Source organism: Homo sapiens, chromosome 13 (genome assembly GCF_000001405.40).
Source record: "Homo sapiens chromosome 13, GRCh38.p14 Primary Assembly".
In the NCBI taxonomy this organism is placed as follows: domain Eukaryota; kingdom Metazoa; phylum Chordata; class Mammalia; order Primates; family Hominidae; genus Homo; species Homo sapiens.
The window spans coordinates 58,735,801-58,753,569 of NC_000013.11; the positions used below are offsets into that span (position 1 = coordinate 58,735,801).

The window sequence follows — 17,769 nt, forward strand, 5'->3', positions numbered from 1 at the left end:
AAGTAAGGATTTTGCCTTAACCACGACATAGAACTCTAATGAATCAAACTTGATTGCTTTTCCTTATATCAGTGGTAGGTTTAATACTTCGAATTGACCCTAAAGTTGGTAGACTCTATTGCTCCATTCGTTTTAAGACCAAACTCAAATCTTATTTCTCTCTACTTTGCGGAATGGAAAAGCCTGTAGTAGGTAGAACAGACCAGTCATTAAGAGACCTGACCTCGGCTGACTACTCCAAATCTTCATATGGCTAGCATAACAGCCCTTATCACCTCTGAGTTGTTCTTACAATTCCAAGTATATAGAACAAAATAATCTTAAAGAAAGACTGATGACACATTCGACCATGTCAGGCGTATTACCCTGCTATTAATGTTTGGACCTCCAGAAATCTAGCCCACTCAATAAATATGTTCGGATTGCATGAAAAATCAGCACCACTTCTCTTTGGTAAAGTAAAAGTGGAGAGAAACTATGAAATGTTCCTAGCAACTATTGCTGATTGTAAAGTCTATTGCCTAGTGATTTACTTATAGGAACTGATATATTTTAGTTAGTATTATTTTGACTATTAAGGTAGATTTTCAGCCAGGCTGTAAGCACCTTTGGAAAAGGACCATGTCCTTCAACTTTGTTTCTCAGATTCAATAATAGCTGTGACATGCTGTAGGTGTTCAAGACACTGGGTTTTTCTTTAAAACCAAATAAATAAATAAGACATTTTGATAAAATATGCTTTTACCATGGCAATTGATAATATTTCAGAAAAATCTAAAAATCAATCCATTTGTATGCTACTACTGACCTCCTAGCTCTGTACAGTTCTATTCATCAACATAGAGTCTAATCGGCTACAGATACAGCTATTTCTCCATTGTGTTTATAAGAATGTTACTTAGAATCTTTATTAAATGTACTCTTAAAGTCAAGATAAATTATTACACTTATCTGCATGTACAGGTCCACTATAATTGACCAAGATAATTGTGCGCTACATAGTTTCTTGGAACACCATGTAAATGGCACCTGTAAAGTTGTTCAAACAGGCAACCCTCTAAATACTCCCTTGAAATGTATTTGAAAATACATTATGTTATTTTTTCTTTTGTTCACAATGAATTCATGAACAATTCATGTTGACTAATAGTGACAAATGATGTCATTTCTAAATACTCTCATTATACATCAAATTTACCAGAATGAATACTTTGTCTTCTCAAAAATAGAACATGTGCTCATTACCAATATTAAATAATCTTTTGTATTTCCCATATTTCTCAAAGATTATTTACAGTGATTTTATGGTTAAAATTACAATATATTTTTAAGCATCGTATAATAGAATTCTTCCACTTCTAGAGATGTAAAAGCATTTAAATGAATTATTTTCTCTTTTGTGACACTTTAAAACAGACATTGTTAGTGTTTGCTTATAGCCTCTCAAGTCCTTTTGTCATTTTCATGCATTACTGGCTCTCAATGTGCTTTCAACCCCAAAAGCCAGTTCCTTCAGTCCTTTACTAGAGTCTTGGCATGAGAGTGCTAGGTCTAGATTTGGGAGTATCTGGAAACGTATCCCTACCCAGGGCAATCACTAACCAAAGCATGATGGTGCAGTGGAATAAATACTCCCATTTTCTTGTTCCTGGACAGGTAACCCCGAAATGCAGGCTACGATTTCTGCAGAGTTCCTGGGGAATTGTGCCAAATTATCTAATATGGAATTTAGCTAGACATTACACTCTTGTTTGGCTTCCCATCTTGTTATGGGTTTAATTGTGTCCCTCAAAAAGGATACATTGAAGTCCTGATTCTCAAAACTTTAGAAGAGGACCTTATTTTGAAATAGGGTGTTTACAATGGTAAGCAAACTAAAATGTTGCTACTAGGGTGATCCCTAACAACTGACTGATAGCCTTATAAAAAAGAGGAGTTTGGAAACAGACACACATACAGGGAGAATGCCATGTGAAGATGAAGGCAGAGATGGGGTGGTGAATCTACAAGTTTAGAAAAGTCCAAGATTGTCAGCAAATCACCAGAAGCTCGGAGAAATGTCTGGAACAGATTTACCTTCTCAGCCCTCAGAAGAAACCAACCCTGCCAACACGCAATCTTAGATATCAAATATCCAAAACTGAGACAATACATTTCTGTTGTTTAAGCCACCCATTTTGTGGCACTTTGTTGCAGCAGCCCTAGGAAGTGAATACACTTTGTTTTCTGCAACACGTTTCTATTCCCGCCACTACTCCACCAAGAACCTTTTTTATACAAGAATCATTTTTATACAAATCTCCATCTCAGTATTTGCTTCTAGGGAACTCGATCTGAGACAACTCCAGGCTTGTATCCTTTATTATTGGTGTGTAAAAAAGATTATTAGGAGATAATTGGTGAAGACCAATCCTCTTACTGAACTAAGCAAAATTATTCAGAAATTGATCATTTAGCTTTGATTCTACCTTCCATGAATATTGCACTTTTCTCTCTAAGATGTGACAGTTACCTTGTTAACATATATTCTTTTTCTGTTCTAACAACAGAATTTAGCATTTTTCTCAGTAACTTATTTCTGGATTTAACTTATTTCTATTCTTAAAATTTCTTGGTTTTATTTTGCATTTGTCTTGGTTTTGTGCCCTGCTTTTCATCTTTGGAAAGCCGCTTTAGATTCAAGCTTATTGTAGATTCCCCCAAACTATCCTATAGGATCCCCTTGCTGTCTCCTACTGTTCTTAAGCACAATAGTTATGCAGAAATGTTTCATAAAAATTATTTCAGAACATTTCAACACTCTTGACACATGCTTTAGAGTTACCTATGAAAATTGTAGGGTCACATTCACCTTTTTCAGCTTTCGTAAGAATAGTCGAGAGTATGTCTTTGAGTCTGCTATGCAACTCTGTCCTTCTCAATTCTAAATAGACACAACCACTTTAATTGAAAGGTTTCCATCACTCTTACAACCTCAGCCAATTTTCTTTCCCTGTCTGAATGAAATCCAGCAATTGCGCATTTGCTTCCTCATGCAAGATGAAATTGTCAGCAAGGTAAATAGCAAATTTATTAGGTGCCATCCTTTTAGCAGAATTAGATTTCAAACAGATGCTCATACAGTTCAAGTTCTCTATTATTTGCATACAGACGGTTTTTTGTTAAGTTGGAAATCTTTTACAAATTTTTAACTGTAATCTTCATTTTGTTTGTGTGTGTATGTATATATATAATATATTATATATATTATATATTATAAAATATTATATATTATACAATATATATTATTAATTATACAATATATAATATTATTATTAATGTTATTAATTAATATAATAATAATATTATTAATTATTAATATTATATAATATAATATATATAATATATTATATATATTATAAATAATATATAATATATAATATGTAATATATATTATATATTATATAATATATATAATATATATAATATGTAATATATATAATAAATAATATATATAATATATAATACGTAATATATATTATAAATAATACATATAATATATAATACGTAATATATATTATAAATAATACATATAATATATAATATGTAATATATATTATAAATAATACATATAATATATAATATGTAATATATTATAAATAATATATATAATATATAATATGTAATATATGTTATATAATATATAATATGTAATATATGTTATATAATATATAATATGTAATATATGTTATATAATATATAATATGTAATATATATTATATTATATATAATATATAAAAAATATAATATATATAATATAATATGTATATTATATGAGCCATTCTTTCAAATCATACCTATTTTGTATTTATGTTGTATTTCCTAACAGCCAGATTTTGGTGCAACATGAATCCACAATAATATTAATTCTCTTTATTTTTCTTATTTGTACCCCTGCTCATAGACTCTCTACTTGGCTTCACAAATCATGCATGTAACAATAAAGCATAAAATTATAAATGTTCTCAATATGTTCCTCCTCTGTTACTCCTTTTCATTGAATAAGTTAGAGACATGTATGTTAGTCAGCTTGGACAGCTATAGCAAAATAAGGTGGAATGAATGGCTTAAACAACAAAAAATTATTTTCTCACAGTTCTGGAGACCGGAAGTCCAAGACTGGGGTGTCAGCCTGCTTGGGTTCTGGTGAAGGTTGTTTTCTTGGCTTTCAGACTGCCACCTTCTTGCTGTGTCCTCACATGGAGAGGCTAGAGAGAGCAAACACTCTGATGTATCTTCTTATAAGGATAATAATCCCACTCTAAACCGAATGATCTCCCAAACACTATCACATTGTGGTTTAGAGCTTCACCATATGAATTTTGGGGAAACACAAACATTCAATCAATTACATAGTGCATTTCTCTTCACATTTCTCTGCTCACCAAGTCATATTAATACTTATGCTATTAATATGCTATTGCTATGGTTTGAATATATGTGTCCCCCAAAATTCATAGGAGCCTAAGACCCAATGAGGTGGTATTGAGAAGTGGGGGTCTGTCCTCACAAATGGGATTAAGACACTTGTAAAAGGGTTTGAAGAAACTCTCAGTCAATTTTGCCCTTTAGCCTTCCACCATGTGAGGAAGCAGCAACCAGTCTCCTTGCCCATTGCTTTGTCATAACTAGAGTACCAGAAAACTGATATCCTCAACTATGAATAAAACAGCCAGCTTCCATTTCTTCATTCTTTCCCAAAGTTTTAGCTATCAGTCTGGAAAAATAATTAGTCCACAGATACTCTTAAATCTTTCAGTTTGAGTTTTTGTTTTGTTTTGTTTTGTTTTTCCCCCAGGTTTTCAAAGGCAATAGAGATACATCAAGTTTCTCCCAAACAATTTGCTTATTTCAGGCATGGGGAGCAGCACATTTGGATAGTGTAGAATATTGCCAGCCTGTCAGCCATATCTCAAGTTTATGTCTCTGAGGTCTTAGATATACCCATAACCATACTTTTTTCCTATTTAATAAAGAAAGACCATCAATTACATTTATATACAGGTTGCGTTTTTAAAATTATTTCATTATGTTGTCTTACCAATTAGATTGCAAACTCATTTGTATTATATCTAGCTAATCTTTTAAACCATAATAGGTACTTGCTAGATACCTGATTACTTAACCATACATGCATTTGAAAAACATACATTAATTCAGTGTACTATAAAACAAAGTTTCTGCGTCAATTGTGGTGGTACACATTTGAAATGGGATCTCTCGTATAAAAAATGAAAGAATGTATTTCATTCACCATGGTTCTTTGCAAAAAGCAATCACTTTATAAAAGTTAACCATTGATATTCATAATAATGGTGCTTACCAAAATTAATAATTATTGAATAATAAATTTCTTTCAGCATAATTATTATTACTATTTTGTGATCAGATGTTAAAATTTTGACAATTTAGTAAAGAGTAACTGCCACTTTGACTCTATATTTATCAGAATCCTTAAAGTGGCTGAGGAAGGGAAGTGATATGCTCCCAGTAGCAGATGAGACAGACTATAAGGCAGAGATTGAAGGCAGGTAGTTTGTAAAGGACTTCACTTTTAAATGTGGATTTTACTCTAATACAAATGTCAACAATGCAGTGTGAAAGAGGAAATGCTTGAGGTATTCTGAATTCATAATGAAGCATCATCTTTCAACGAATCCACTGTGGTTAGACACACAAAACACCTGCTCTCTTTATAGATTCTATGCAGTGCCTGGACTGGCTGAATGTCTTGATTCTGTGGTGCTTAAAGCAGAAAATGTCACTATGATTTCAAAGGGCCTTAATGGTTAGAAATTGCTATAAATGATAAATTTCCATGTCACCTTAAAATTTCTTAGCTTTGTTAGTTCAAGCCATGTCCTTAATGTAGTTTAATGCTGCTGTTATTATCATTATTTAATATAGTCAATGTATGGACTGAACAAAACATACTTGCAAGTTTAGCATTTTCCAATCAATATTTTAAATTTACTTGATGAAGAAAAAAAGTGTGCTCTTCAATTGTAAGAATTATCTCAGTGCTTCCCGAGATCACTTTAATGTAATACATTTATCTGTATGTAAAAATGGTTTCTCTGGTTACCAGAAATAAATTGCAGTATATCACTGGATTAATTGACATCAGTTTCTCAAGGTAAGATATGACATCTTGCTGACACAATATGAGTAAAAATTCTCAAAACAATTAGACAACATTATAGGAGGTGAAATATAGAAAGGTTTATTTATCATACATATTATGAATCAACATTATATTTTCAGTTTATTTTTACAATAAAGTATATATTATATTTCTTTTTTTGTAAAATTGTGTTATATTAACATACACAAATAGATTCACATTTGAATGTCTTATAGAGCTCTCAAATATATCAAAAGAAAGAAATAAAGGAACGCCATAAGGTTATATCTCCCAGGTAAAATTTTCAATACTTGTCTGATAAATATGCATAAACGTGTACATTGCTAAAAATATACATATTGTTCCATATACTTACAAGCTATGTGCTATAACTGAGAAGAAAATGTCTTCTTATGAGAATTATTCTGTTAAAATCAGTGGTTTCATTTTCTTCAAATCCAGGTTAAAATACAAAATTATAATTACAAAAGTACAGATTTAAAAATTACTTTTAATATTACATAATCTAATCATCTATCATCACAAAAATTAAAAAACTTGAAGCTCTGTGTTTTGGAGCTTTATATTTTATATCTTGACTCAAGATATCCAAGGTCACAGAGCTAGTTTATGATGGAATCATGCAGTAGCACCAAGCTTTCTATTTATTTCATTTTACTCCAAATACCATATTTTTTTCTTACAGGAAATGCTGTCTCTCTAAGACCTGTGTGTGTTGGCCAAACATGTGTCATTTGCCCATTTAAACATGTATTCCCTAATTTCATGCAAATATTTGTTCAAAAATTGTGAATATAATAGAACTTCTTAATTTAAGAAATACTCTACCTTGTGTGAGGCACTAATAATGTTGGAAAAAATGAATGTGATCTTTGTGGTCTTAACGCTTTCTACCTGAAGTAATGACAGCCTGTGCTATGTGGTTTAGTTCATATGACCTTATTTTATTGATGAAGTGAAATAAGTACAGTTTTTCCCTTTTTATATATAGGGATATACAACCGAAAATGGTTTCAACTTGTCCAAATTCGTATAGTTTATAAGTGGTGGACTGAGAATTCATCCTTCCTACACCTGCCTAGCCTTCCAAGGTTCATTGACATAAGAGTTCTTGATCTTCTTTACCGATAACTTCAGGTCCTTACCAGTTGAAACAGAATAATAGAAATATTATGTATAACCATGTCTTCTACCCAGTTCCTTCTCACTTAATTGAATGTAATTTCAAGCAAAACTACAAGCCCAGGGAGGATGATGCAATTCTTAGCTGCTTGGTCTGTAGTACTTCTTTATGTCTCCTTCCTGGCTTCAAAGCTAGCACATAAAGATGAAAGGTGGGTTCCTGGATGATCGCAAATTAATAAATTAATAAGTGCTATTGAGCTCCATCTTCATGTTGGTCCAGTCCAAAGGATCAGGTTTCTGGCAAGAATCATGTTTAGTAGTTACTTTGATTAGTACTCCAAATACGCTTCTCTAAGTATAAAGTTCTGATGGGAAACCCAGATTGCTGTTAGTAGTGATCCTGGTAAGCTACTGCTGCTACTACTTTCTACTTCTATGCTTTCTACTACTACCATTAATTTAATAAGAGTAAAGTCCTCTTGCTTCCCGCCAGTATCCCTTTCCAGGAAATTTCCAAAAAAAATGGCTACAAGCCTATGCAAATTAAGTGATATTTTTCTGTCTTTTGAATCTTAAATATCAACTAGAATTTGTAACCCCTAATATGTGATCTGAAAGCCTCATTGACTAAAAGGACATTGACAGTTTCTTGGATTATGACAGGTTGCCATAGCCATTGGAGATCACACCATGACTTGCTTCCCGACCACCTGGATTTTATGTGAAGTCACATGTTCTTAGAAAAACAGACTTTTAAGACACTCTTCTGCGATCTGACATTTTCAAGGTAAGCCTTAAATGATACAGCCTTATCCTGTGTCTATGCAAAGTTTATCCTCTCTTCACCAGCTCTGTGTTAGTGTGCTTACTCTGAAAGGATGGCAAGGTTGGCTTTCAGAGATGTGGTTGGGCACCTTGGTGTCTCTGCTTCCACAGACTCTGTTCCACTGTTTTGCATTGGTGGTTGTGGCTTTGTCTTCCTCATTCTAACCGATAAGGCATAGCTGTTCAGAATGGCTTAAGGCTAACTGCAGCATGGCTGGTTTACTTGCAGCTTTGTCTGAATCACATTTTATTTTCCGTTAACTAGATTGAACCACCAACCCACATCATACTACAATTAATGTTTTATTCTTTATTTCAAGACGTTATGCAAAAGTATTCATAAAAAATGATTTTCTGAAATTTAGATACAGTATATTTTTAGATTTATCCTGATCTTTAGCCTTGCTAGGCTGCCAAAGGGAGAAATTAAAGAAAAAAAAAAACACCTTTATTTTTATCAGGTACACCCAATCAAGACATATTCATTGCCCTGAAAGGAGATTACAAAACTCATTTTCCACATTTCATTCTCAGTGACTCCATGCTGGTTTTGAATAGTTGTTACTTTCCATAACAAAATTGGTTCTGAATTTGGTCTGAGATCAACATCACTCAGTAATCATTCATTACAAGGAAATTTATTTCTCTTCCCTTTCTCCTCTTATTTCATAAATTATTGTTGCCATTGTTGTTAGTTTAAGAAACATCCTGTAATATATAGCTCCTTTTTTTTCTTTTTAAAATTCTAGATATCAATTACAGTGGCCTGACTGTCTCATGGGCAAACTCCTTCCTTGTTTTGGGATGTATTTCATCTGAGCCAGAATTGCTAAACTTGTTCAGAGCTATTACAATCTTTTCACCCGCTTTAAACTTAAATTTCTCTCAACAACATTCATTCTATCCTTTCTAGTTCATAGATCACTCACAATGACAAGCAAAGACAAGTAAAATAGAGTTGAGTGTCTTTGCCTTCTCTTTGTCACTTATCAACATTCAATCATTATACCTATCCCTCTCTTCTTTTCTTGATTACATTTTTAAAGCCCCTACATTTTATTACTTTTTTCTCAAAATATCTTGCAAAACTTTCTGCCTTGAAATTTTCACCCTCTTAGTACTTTTTTCTGTGGGCTTGTCCTGTCTCATATTCTACATATTCTATGTTGGCTATTTACCCCTCTTTACCATTTTCCTACATGACCTTTTATCATTGGAAAATTGTAAATTCTGGTATCTGATTTCCATAAGCACACAAAATGTCATATTTTAAAGTTAAATTGTGAATGCAGAGTTACATTTAGAAAAGATTGTCTGATTCTCTAATATAGCCCAGAGTAGCACTGACCCTTCAGGAGGCTCAGTTTTTAGCAGTGAGGGTGGGGGAAAGTAGGGAAGAGAATAGAGGTGAGGAGGGTGTGAAACAGAAGTTTATGGGGTTTTTTTGTTTTGTTTTTCAATTTTTGGCTTTTTGTTGTTTTTGTTGTCGTTGTTTTTTTTTTGAGACAGAGTCTCGCTCTGTCACCCAGGCTGGGGTACAATGGCGCGGTCTCAGCTCACTGCAACCTCTGCCTCCTGGGTTCAAGTGATTTTTCTGCCTCAGCCTCCCTAGTAGCTGGGACTACAGGCGCCTGCCACCACGCCGGGCTAATTTTTGTATTTTTAGTAGAGGCGGGGTTTCACTATGTTGGCCAGACTTGTCTCGAACTGCTGACCTCATGTTCTGCCTGCCTGGACCTCCCAAAGTGCTGGGGTTACAGGCATGAAGAAGCTTTAAGGAATATGCATTTAATAAAAGCTATAAGGGAGAAATATGAAAAAAATTTTCAAGCTATGAGATTTACATATATATGTGTATATATATATATATACATATAAATTCTATATATCCGTCTAGTGAATATCTTGATACATCGATCTTTATTAACCAAGAGGAATTATCTTCCCTTTTAAATTGTCCCAGTTACTAGAGTCATTTTTAAATAAAAATATTTTCATTTTCTTGCAATATTAGCTGCTAGTAAATAAAATATCTTTCGATTACTTTCCTATTACTACCAAATAGCTTCTTTTTTCATGAAAGTAAACATAGGGATAAAAAGTTTTATCCTTCATGTTGTAGGTTTTGCCTTAGATATTCCATTGTAATGTGTTCTAAAATCATTAGTGAAGATATTTTAGTAGACATTGGAAACTTATTTTCATTTCACCCCATAAATATATAACTATAAGTAAATATTTTATGCATGTTATATTTTAACTATGAATATAAATCAATGGATTATAAATAAAATATCTAAGCATATGATGAGACCATATACATAGTTTTGCTTGTATATTTTATGTTTCTTCTCAGTTTACCATCAGTCATGACTGCTGAATACATATTAAGCTAAAGTTTCCTAAGTTTGCTCACAGGGTGTTTTATTTTTTAAAAGAAAATTTAATATTTAGCAGTCAGTTAAAATATTGATATTTTCTAAAATTGAACCACATTTTGGTTAAAACACTTATTTTTCAATAAAATACAAATGAATATTTTTGTTAATTCTGAAAGTTGTGTAACCCAAGTTTTTGATTAGAACACTTAAGCATGTTAAAATACACATTGTATTGTCATGGCTATTGGTTTCCCGCATAGGGAAGAACTCAGTGGCATTTGCCTAGGGTGCATTGCATTGGCCTACCTATCATTAAATTCTAGTTTAGAGCTGCAAACTGAAGTGCTGCCTGGTTTGGTAAAATTGAAACTGCTTGTTTGAGCCATTTCAATGATTAGCCTACAAGAAATCTATCAGTCCTGAAATAAAAATGTACTCAGGCAGTACACTTATTGGAATGCTAGACTCTAGGTTCCTTCAGCAATCATAACTTTCAGGTGGAAAGTTAATCTCTAGAAGTATTTTGTTCTGTTTTTGTTAGTTTTTAAAACAATTGTTGGAAAGCCATATCCTCTTTCCTGCCTTAAAGATGTTTCCTGGCTACAAGTATAATCCTTTGCAATGGTATTTTTGAGGGCATGCAAGGAAATATGGAAACTTTATGGACCATTGTCCAGTCTGAATTGGCCATTCACTGTAGGAATATTACAGATTTGATTTCCATTTGAGTGAAAGATTGGATTATAGGAGCTCTAAGATCTAAGAGTCCTTATAACTGTGATGTTCTTTAACAGGTGTAAAAAATAAGTGGTCAGTGTATGTGTGGAAATTCAAAGATATATAAGAAGCTAAGAGTAGAGATTATTCAATTTAATAATGATCATCATTATGCACCCCATACCAGTTTAGTTGTTGAGGGTGGCTTTGTCAGGAGCCCAGTTCCCTTCTCAATCAGATTATAGCAGGGGTGAGAAAGAAAGCAGAATTTCTAAAGCCTGTGTTCCCAATAAGCCATACTGCCTCAGCTTTCTTGTTGGAGAGTCAAGAATCCTAGTGAGTGAAACTGTTTTATTATTTTTTCATTCCAAACTCTTTTACTAGAAACCAAACTTCAGGAAAATATGATTAAACTCAATGACTGTGAAGATATCTAACCTAATATGATTCTAAAAATTCTTTCGTATTCCCAAGTTTAAGTCTATGCACCCTGTGGTGGAAAGAATTAAGCTCATTATGTTGTTTATTCCAGGTAACTATAAAAAATGGAAACTTCTAAATTTCACACCCAACAATTAGCTACTTTTCTATTCTTTACTACTGTGAGTATAATTGGATTTGAATGAATAGGATAAATATAAGAGCAATCTCTTTATGTGGTGGCAGAGCAGTCAATAACCTGAATCTAACATAAGCATTATAAATATACACTTTGTTAAAAATAATAAAATTATCAAAGCAAATATAAATAAACCCACATTAAGATCAACATTTCCTAACTTAATCTCTATATCATTGTTTAATATATACTTTTTTATAATTGCAACATTATTTAATGCTCATTGAAACATTTTCTGTGCCTTTTCTTTTTGGTACTTTTTAAAAAACTTAGTTCATTACTTACATAATAAGCATTCAACACAAGACTATTGGTTGAGGATATTAACAAATATAATAAGTGAAATAGCTGGTACAACTGTAAAATTAAATGTGAACTATATTTTAAATATTTTCAAGCTATTTAAGTAAATCAAAGTTTAAAAATTCAACAAATTATATCTCCGAGTACTGTGAGACGGTTGTTCTTAACCTCCCTACTGTTTAAAGGAAAAGAGGCCCCTTTTCCTGCACGAGGCTAATCCTTCTACTCATACTTGAGATTCCATATCCTCTCACCTGTGTCTAAATTATTTCCACCTCTAATATTTTCTTTTTATAATGTTTAAAATTGCCTAAGATGCACCATTTTAACTGTAGTATCAAAAACAAAAGCATTTCCCTTCCCTCATCCTTCTCGCCACAATCTATTTTGTCTAATTATTAAACTTTTCATCTAATTCTTCCTTCATAACACCATTGGAACTGATTTATTAAAAGGCACACCTGTCACAGTGTTGCCAAAAGCAAAGAATACATTTCCATCCTAATCTGACCTAATCTCTCTGTGGTCCTCGAAACTGAAGACCACTCTCATTTATTATGCTATTTTCTTTCACCTGGGTCTTTTGGCTGCCATGATATATTTTTCCTGGGATTTGCCTTTCTTTTTCAGAGTCCTTCTTTGATTATACAGAGTTAGGTTTGTTGGGTTTTGTTTTGTCTAAGATTTATCTATAAGCTTTTCTTCTTTCCTCCGTTTTTCTTTTCTAACCTGGTCTACTTTAATTTTACACTCCTTTCACTCATGACTTCAATGATCTAGAAACCAATGATTTCTAAATCTGCAACTCCAAGCAAACCTCCCACTAGACCCTAGAAATTGTATTTTTGTTCTCTTAATAGATACCTCTATATATGGATGTTACATGGCTTATGCTCCAAAATGAACTTATAGCCCTATAACATCTATTATTTTCCCTTCTCTCATTCTTTTGCTAATGACAAGTGCTCACCTAAATTTATATTCCTCTCCTCATTCTTAATCACTTAAAATATGTTTCAGCCTCCCTTGTGCTTAGGTGTAGCCATAGATTTTCAGCTGATTTAATTTGAGAGGAAGTGATGTGTTCTATTTCCACACATGGTCCCAGACATTCCCAATGCATGCTCTTTCATTTGAATTTTCTTTTAACTGGTGGGAATCTTGCGACAAACTTGATTGCCATAAATTGAAAGTTTAATCCCTCTCAGCTTAGGAACCTAAATGACTGTTGAACAGAGCTGCCCCACACAATTACATTTTATGAACAAGGAGTAACCATCTTATTGCACTTAAAGCCATAGTCATATGGGGGAATTAATTTAATTTAAATATTCTGAAACATAGAGATACTTAAGCCCAAAACTTGGATGTCATTACAAATCTTTGAATTTATGTGATCTAATCAATCATGTACATATAGGCACACACATATGTGTGCAAACATATAGCTATCTGTTTATCAATTAATCATCTATTTATCCCATTTGCCCCCATATATTTCCACCATTATTTAACTCAAGTCCCCATCTTTTCTTACCTTAACACTTTCAATAGATTCTTAATAAGCCTCCCAGAATGTAGCTTTACCCCTGCTTACTCCCCATCTCCTTCCAGTCTTTTATTCAAAATAACATTTCTTAAATATGTGCTTAGTTATTTAGCTCACCTACTCAAAATATTTTTGAGAAATGCTTTGTAATCAGTATATTAAGGGGACATTCATACATTTCAAGAATTGCTTGAATTCTGATATTCAGATTTAAGCATGTGAACATATGATGAAACTTTTAAACATACAATTGAAGTTATTCATTATAATTTGCTATACTACCAACATTAAATTACAGTTACGTTGGAGCATAAGACAAAAGGTTTAAAGTAAGCCTGTGACATACCAAAGGAACACTTTCTTATATTATACATGAAAATTAATTGTACATGTCAAGGTCTTTTTACTTTAACTTCTAAGTTACCCATCTCCGGAAGTTACTACTTAGGGGCATATTATGGTCCAAAGAGAAAGGATTAAAAATAACTAGGACTGGTCAAGTTATACATATGGGTATATATGCATGTGTGTGTGTGGGTGTGGGTGTGTGTGCAGAAGAGAAAACAATCCTAGAAGTTCAAGCCCTCAAGTAGCAGCATGTTATGAAAAATTCCTTCTTTAGAAAGGTATCCTTTATATCATTGATACCACAGCCTAAATTATATCATGCCATCTTCAAGTAACAGTTGAGGCAACAGAATAAATGCAGAGGAATCACAATGGAACTTATATAATACAAATAACTATACAAACCAACACTTCTCTACAAATTACGTTTTTTTTTCTAATTGCTGGTTAAATACAGTTTTAATTTTATAGATTAAGAATGAAAGGTCATACACTGCAGCCTAGACATATACGTAGCATTTCAGTCCAAGTTTGTTCATGGACACAGATGAAATCAATAACAAGGTTTGGCCTAACAAATGCTAATGGAACTTCTTTTTAAAGTAGTTTTTACAGATATTAAACTCCATCTTGCACACTGAAGTCATCATACATACAGTGCAGAGTCAGAGATTTTATATTTGCCTTTATTCTTCATTTAACTTTTGATATGGGTTGGCTGTGCCTCCACCCAAATCTCAGTTTGAATTGTATCTCCCAGAATTCTCATGTGTTGTGGGAGGGACCCAGGGGGAGGTAATTGAATCATGGGGGCTGATCTCTCCTGTGCTATTCTCGTGATAGTGAATAAGTCTTATGAGATCTGATGGGTTTATCAGGGGTTTCCGCTTATGCTTCTTCCTCATTTTTCTCTTGGCACTGCCATGTAAGAAGTGCCTTTTGCCTCCCACCATGATTCTGAGGCCTCTCCAGCCATGTGGAACTGTAAGTCCAATTAAACCCCCTTTTCTTCCCAGTCTCAGGTATGTCTTTATCAGCAGCTTGAAAACAGTCTAATACAACTTTTAAAACACTACTGTAGTTGACCATTGAAACAAAAACAATAGCAAGCAGTAAGCATATTACGATTACAGTCTTCCACTCATTCACTGCTGCACATAAAATGCCAACTGTGAGTGTTATTCACTGGCCCCATTAAGAGGTTTGACACTGAACACCACCTCTAGGATGATGTTTATAATCCTCATATGCTTCTCCATTGTCATGCTGTCATCTTTTCTCATTTGGATCGAAGTCCACCAGTTCTATCTGATCCATTTCATCAGTCTCTTCTACTTTCTTCCTCTAAGGTAGGAGTTTTTTCAGCAAGAGAGTTCATCAGCTGAGGGAAAGCCATTCTCAGGAAAAGTTTACCTTCGATTAGATAATTTGGCAGCTCTTCATATGGGCTACATAAATTGGCATTCCTTCGCTTAGCACACCCAAGATATCTCCATGCTGACAATCTGACCTGGATGAGAGGTGATGACTACAGTTCAGTCATTAAGAGTGGAAGCTACAAAATGCTTCAACCAGCTATATGTCCATACACATGAAAAGCTCTCCTCCTCATTGAATAAAAACAGTGTGCTCCTTCTGATCTAACACAATAATAATATCTCCTAGCTCCAATCCTGGTTCTTTGGTCTGCTTCACCATGGAACGTTACCTTCTGGCCATCTTTCACGCCTTTGTCAATATGGACTTGTACAATCTTCTTTTTCTCTGTCTTCCTTCCATTGCAGCTTTTATATCTATCTTCAGGACTGATTTGTTCTCCATGGCCCTAGCACTCTATGCCCACGGATTAAATTTGCTAAACCATTCCAGGTCCTATCTGATTAATTCTTATTTGCATTCCAGTAACTATGCAATTGGGACAGCCCTCTACTATTCCTTTCTTACCACTTCTACCTTCACATTTGTCACAAATCACATTTTTTTTGTTTTATTTGCAGAGCCAGTTTTCTTGCCACACCTTTATATAAATCTTCTAAGGTTATTGACAGCTGACACACATTTTTACCTTTCCTTTCCCTCTGCATACTTCCTCCTTCTCCTCCAAAAATCATATCAAAGATGTCCACAGGAGAGCCAGAAGCGCTACCTGCTCCACCCTCTTTAATTACCTGGCTTTCCTCCTTTGACATACAATTCGCTTTTCTTTGCATCAGAGAGAACTTGACAAGCTGGAGAAATCTGCCTAAATTTATCTCCTTCATTCAGGTTCTTACGAGAGTGGTACTTCAATGCCAGTTTCCTATAAACCTTTTTCTTATAATATTTTTGAGCAGCATTGAGTTTTACCCCCAAAGCATAACAGAAACTGGGTTCTCTCACCATTTTTTACTGGCAGTAAGTGGGCTGAGGCTGATGTGGAGGGTGTGCAAAGCAACGCACCTAGTAGCTGTGCTCAGATGCGGCAGCCACGACTCCACCTCTCGCCAAGTGTTCTGGAAAGTTCCCTCAAAATATTTTAAATATTGTCACATTTTTTGATCCATCTATCTAGCGTGTATTGAGTATTATTACTTATACGTTTATACTTAGATTGACACATAAGCACAATCTGTCATTTCAAGAAATGTACATTTTAATGGAAAAAAACCACGTAACTATAAAATAACTGTAAAAACATAGATCCTTCCCTTTTTGTACATAACATAAAATCCAAACTTCTTGGCATGGCATGAAAGGACCTAGTGAAATTCTAGAAGTTATTAAACAGATGTTTTGGGAGCATTTGGAAGAGAAAGCAATGATCGTTAGGAGCCAGCGTGGGCTCACAAAGAATAACTTCTTTTTTGATAGAGTTGCTAGACCGTCAAATTAGGTGAATTTTATAGACAAACTTTGTTGATTTCAACAAGCCATGTTTGTCCTTAGTAAAGCTATTTCACTGATATCCTTAAAAGAAAATGGGAAAATATTAATTGGAAGGCAAAATATTAGAATATTAATTGATAATACATGATAATCAAAGGTCTTTGTTTGTTACCAAGTTCTTCCCACCTGATCTTATTGAAATTTTTAACAAGTCTTTGAAGTCATAAAAGGAAAGCTAAAACAATTTTAAGTAAAATGAAACTGATGAAAATTATTTTATCTTGCTTTTTCCAGCTCATATCTGTGGTAGTATAATCATTACTAGACAACATTATTTAAAAGGACATCTGCCTCAGTGAGGCTTGTGGCAACTCCACCAAGTGCTAAGAAACACTAAAGACAAATAATCTGAAGACAAAATGACAGATAGAAAACACTAAAAATTCTTTTCAAATATTTGAATAATGTGGAAAGGCATAAAATGCAGAAAATGAAATGCAAATCATTTTAAAATAAATATACAAGTAAGCATTTTAATATTATGAGCATTTTTATAGATATATAAACATAAATAAAACACAATTTTTGAAACTTAGTTATTATTTCATAATGATATTTTTGACCCTTATAGTATGCAACCATTTTTTTCCATGTAACTATATATATTTTTAAGAATATGCTTTTGACCAGAGAGGTTTGGAGCATGAGAATAGTGTGATCCAAACTGTTCATTATTAATATTAAACCAGGAGAATTCTGTGGAATGGAACTGATTGTAGAGAAATTGGTGTCAGGTGGACCAGTTGTAACTGTGCCATCCAAAATGGTAGACAATAGTTGCATGTGACTATTG

General features: G+C 33.4%; 1 long non-coding RNA gene and 1 pseudogene across 2 annotated transcripts in view; one reads left to right on the plus strand and one right to left on the minus strand.

The window, feature by feature from the left end:
- The window catches only part of LOC105370220 (uncharacterized), a 49,062-nt gene that overhangs the window by 20,535 nt on the left and 10,758 nt on the right, over window positions 1-17,769 (plus strand). For both annotated transcript variants that reach the window (XR_941987.3, XR_941989.3), the window contains exon 5: window positions 7,973-8,096. This is a non-coding gene — a long non-coding RNA (uncharacterized LOC105370220). The remainder of the gene's footprint in view (window positions 1-7,972; window positions 8,097-17,769) is intronic.
- DNAJA1P1 (DnaJ heat shock protein family (Hsp40) member A1 pseudogene 1) lies at window positions 15,114-16,555 on the minus strand (annotated as a pseudogene).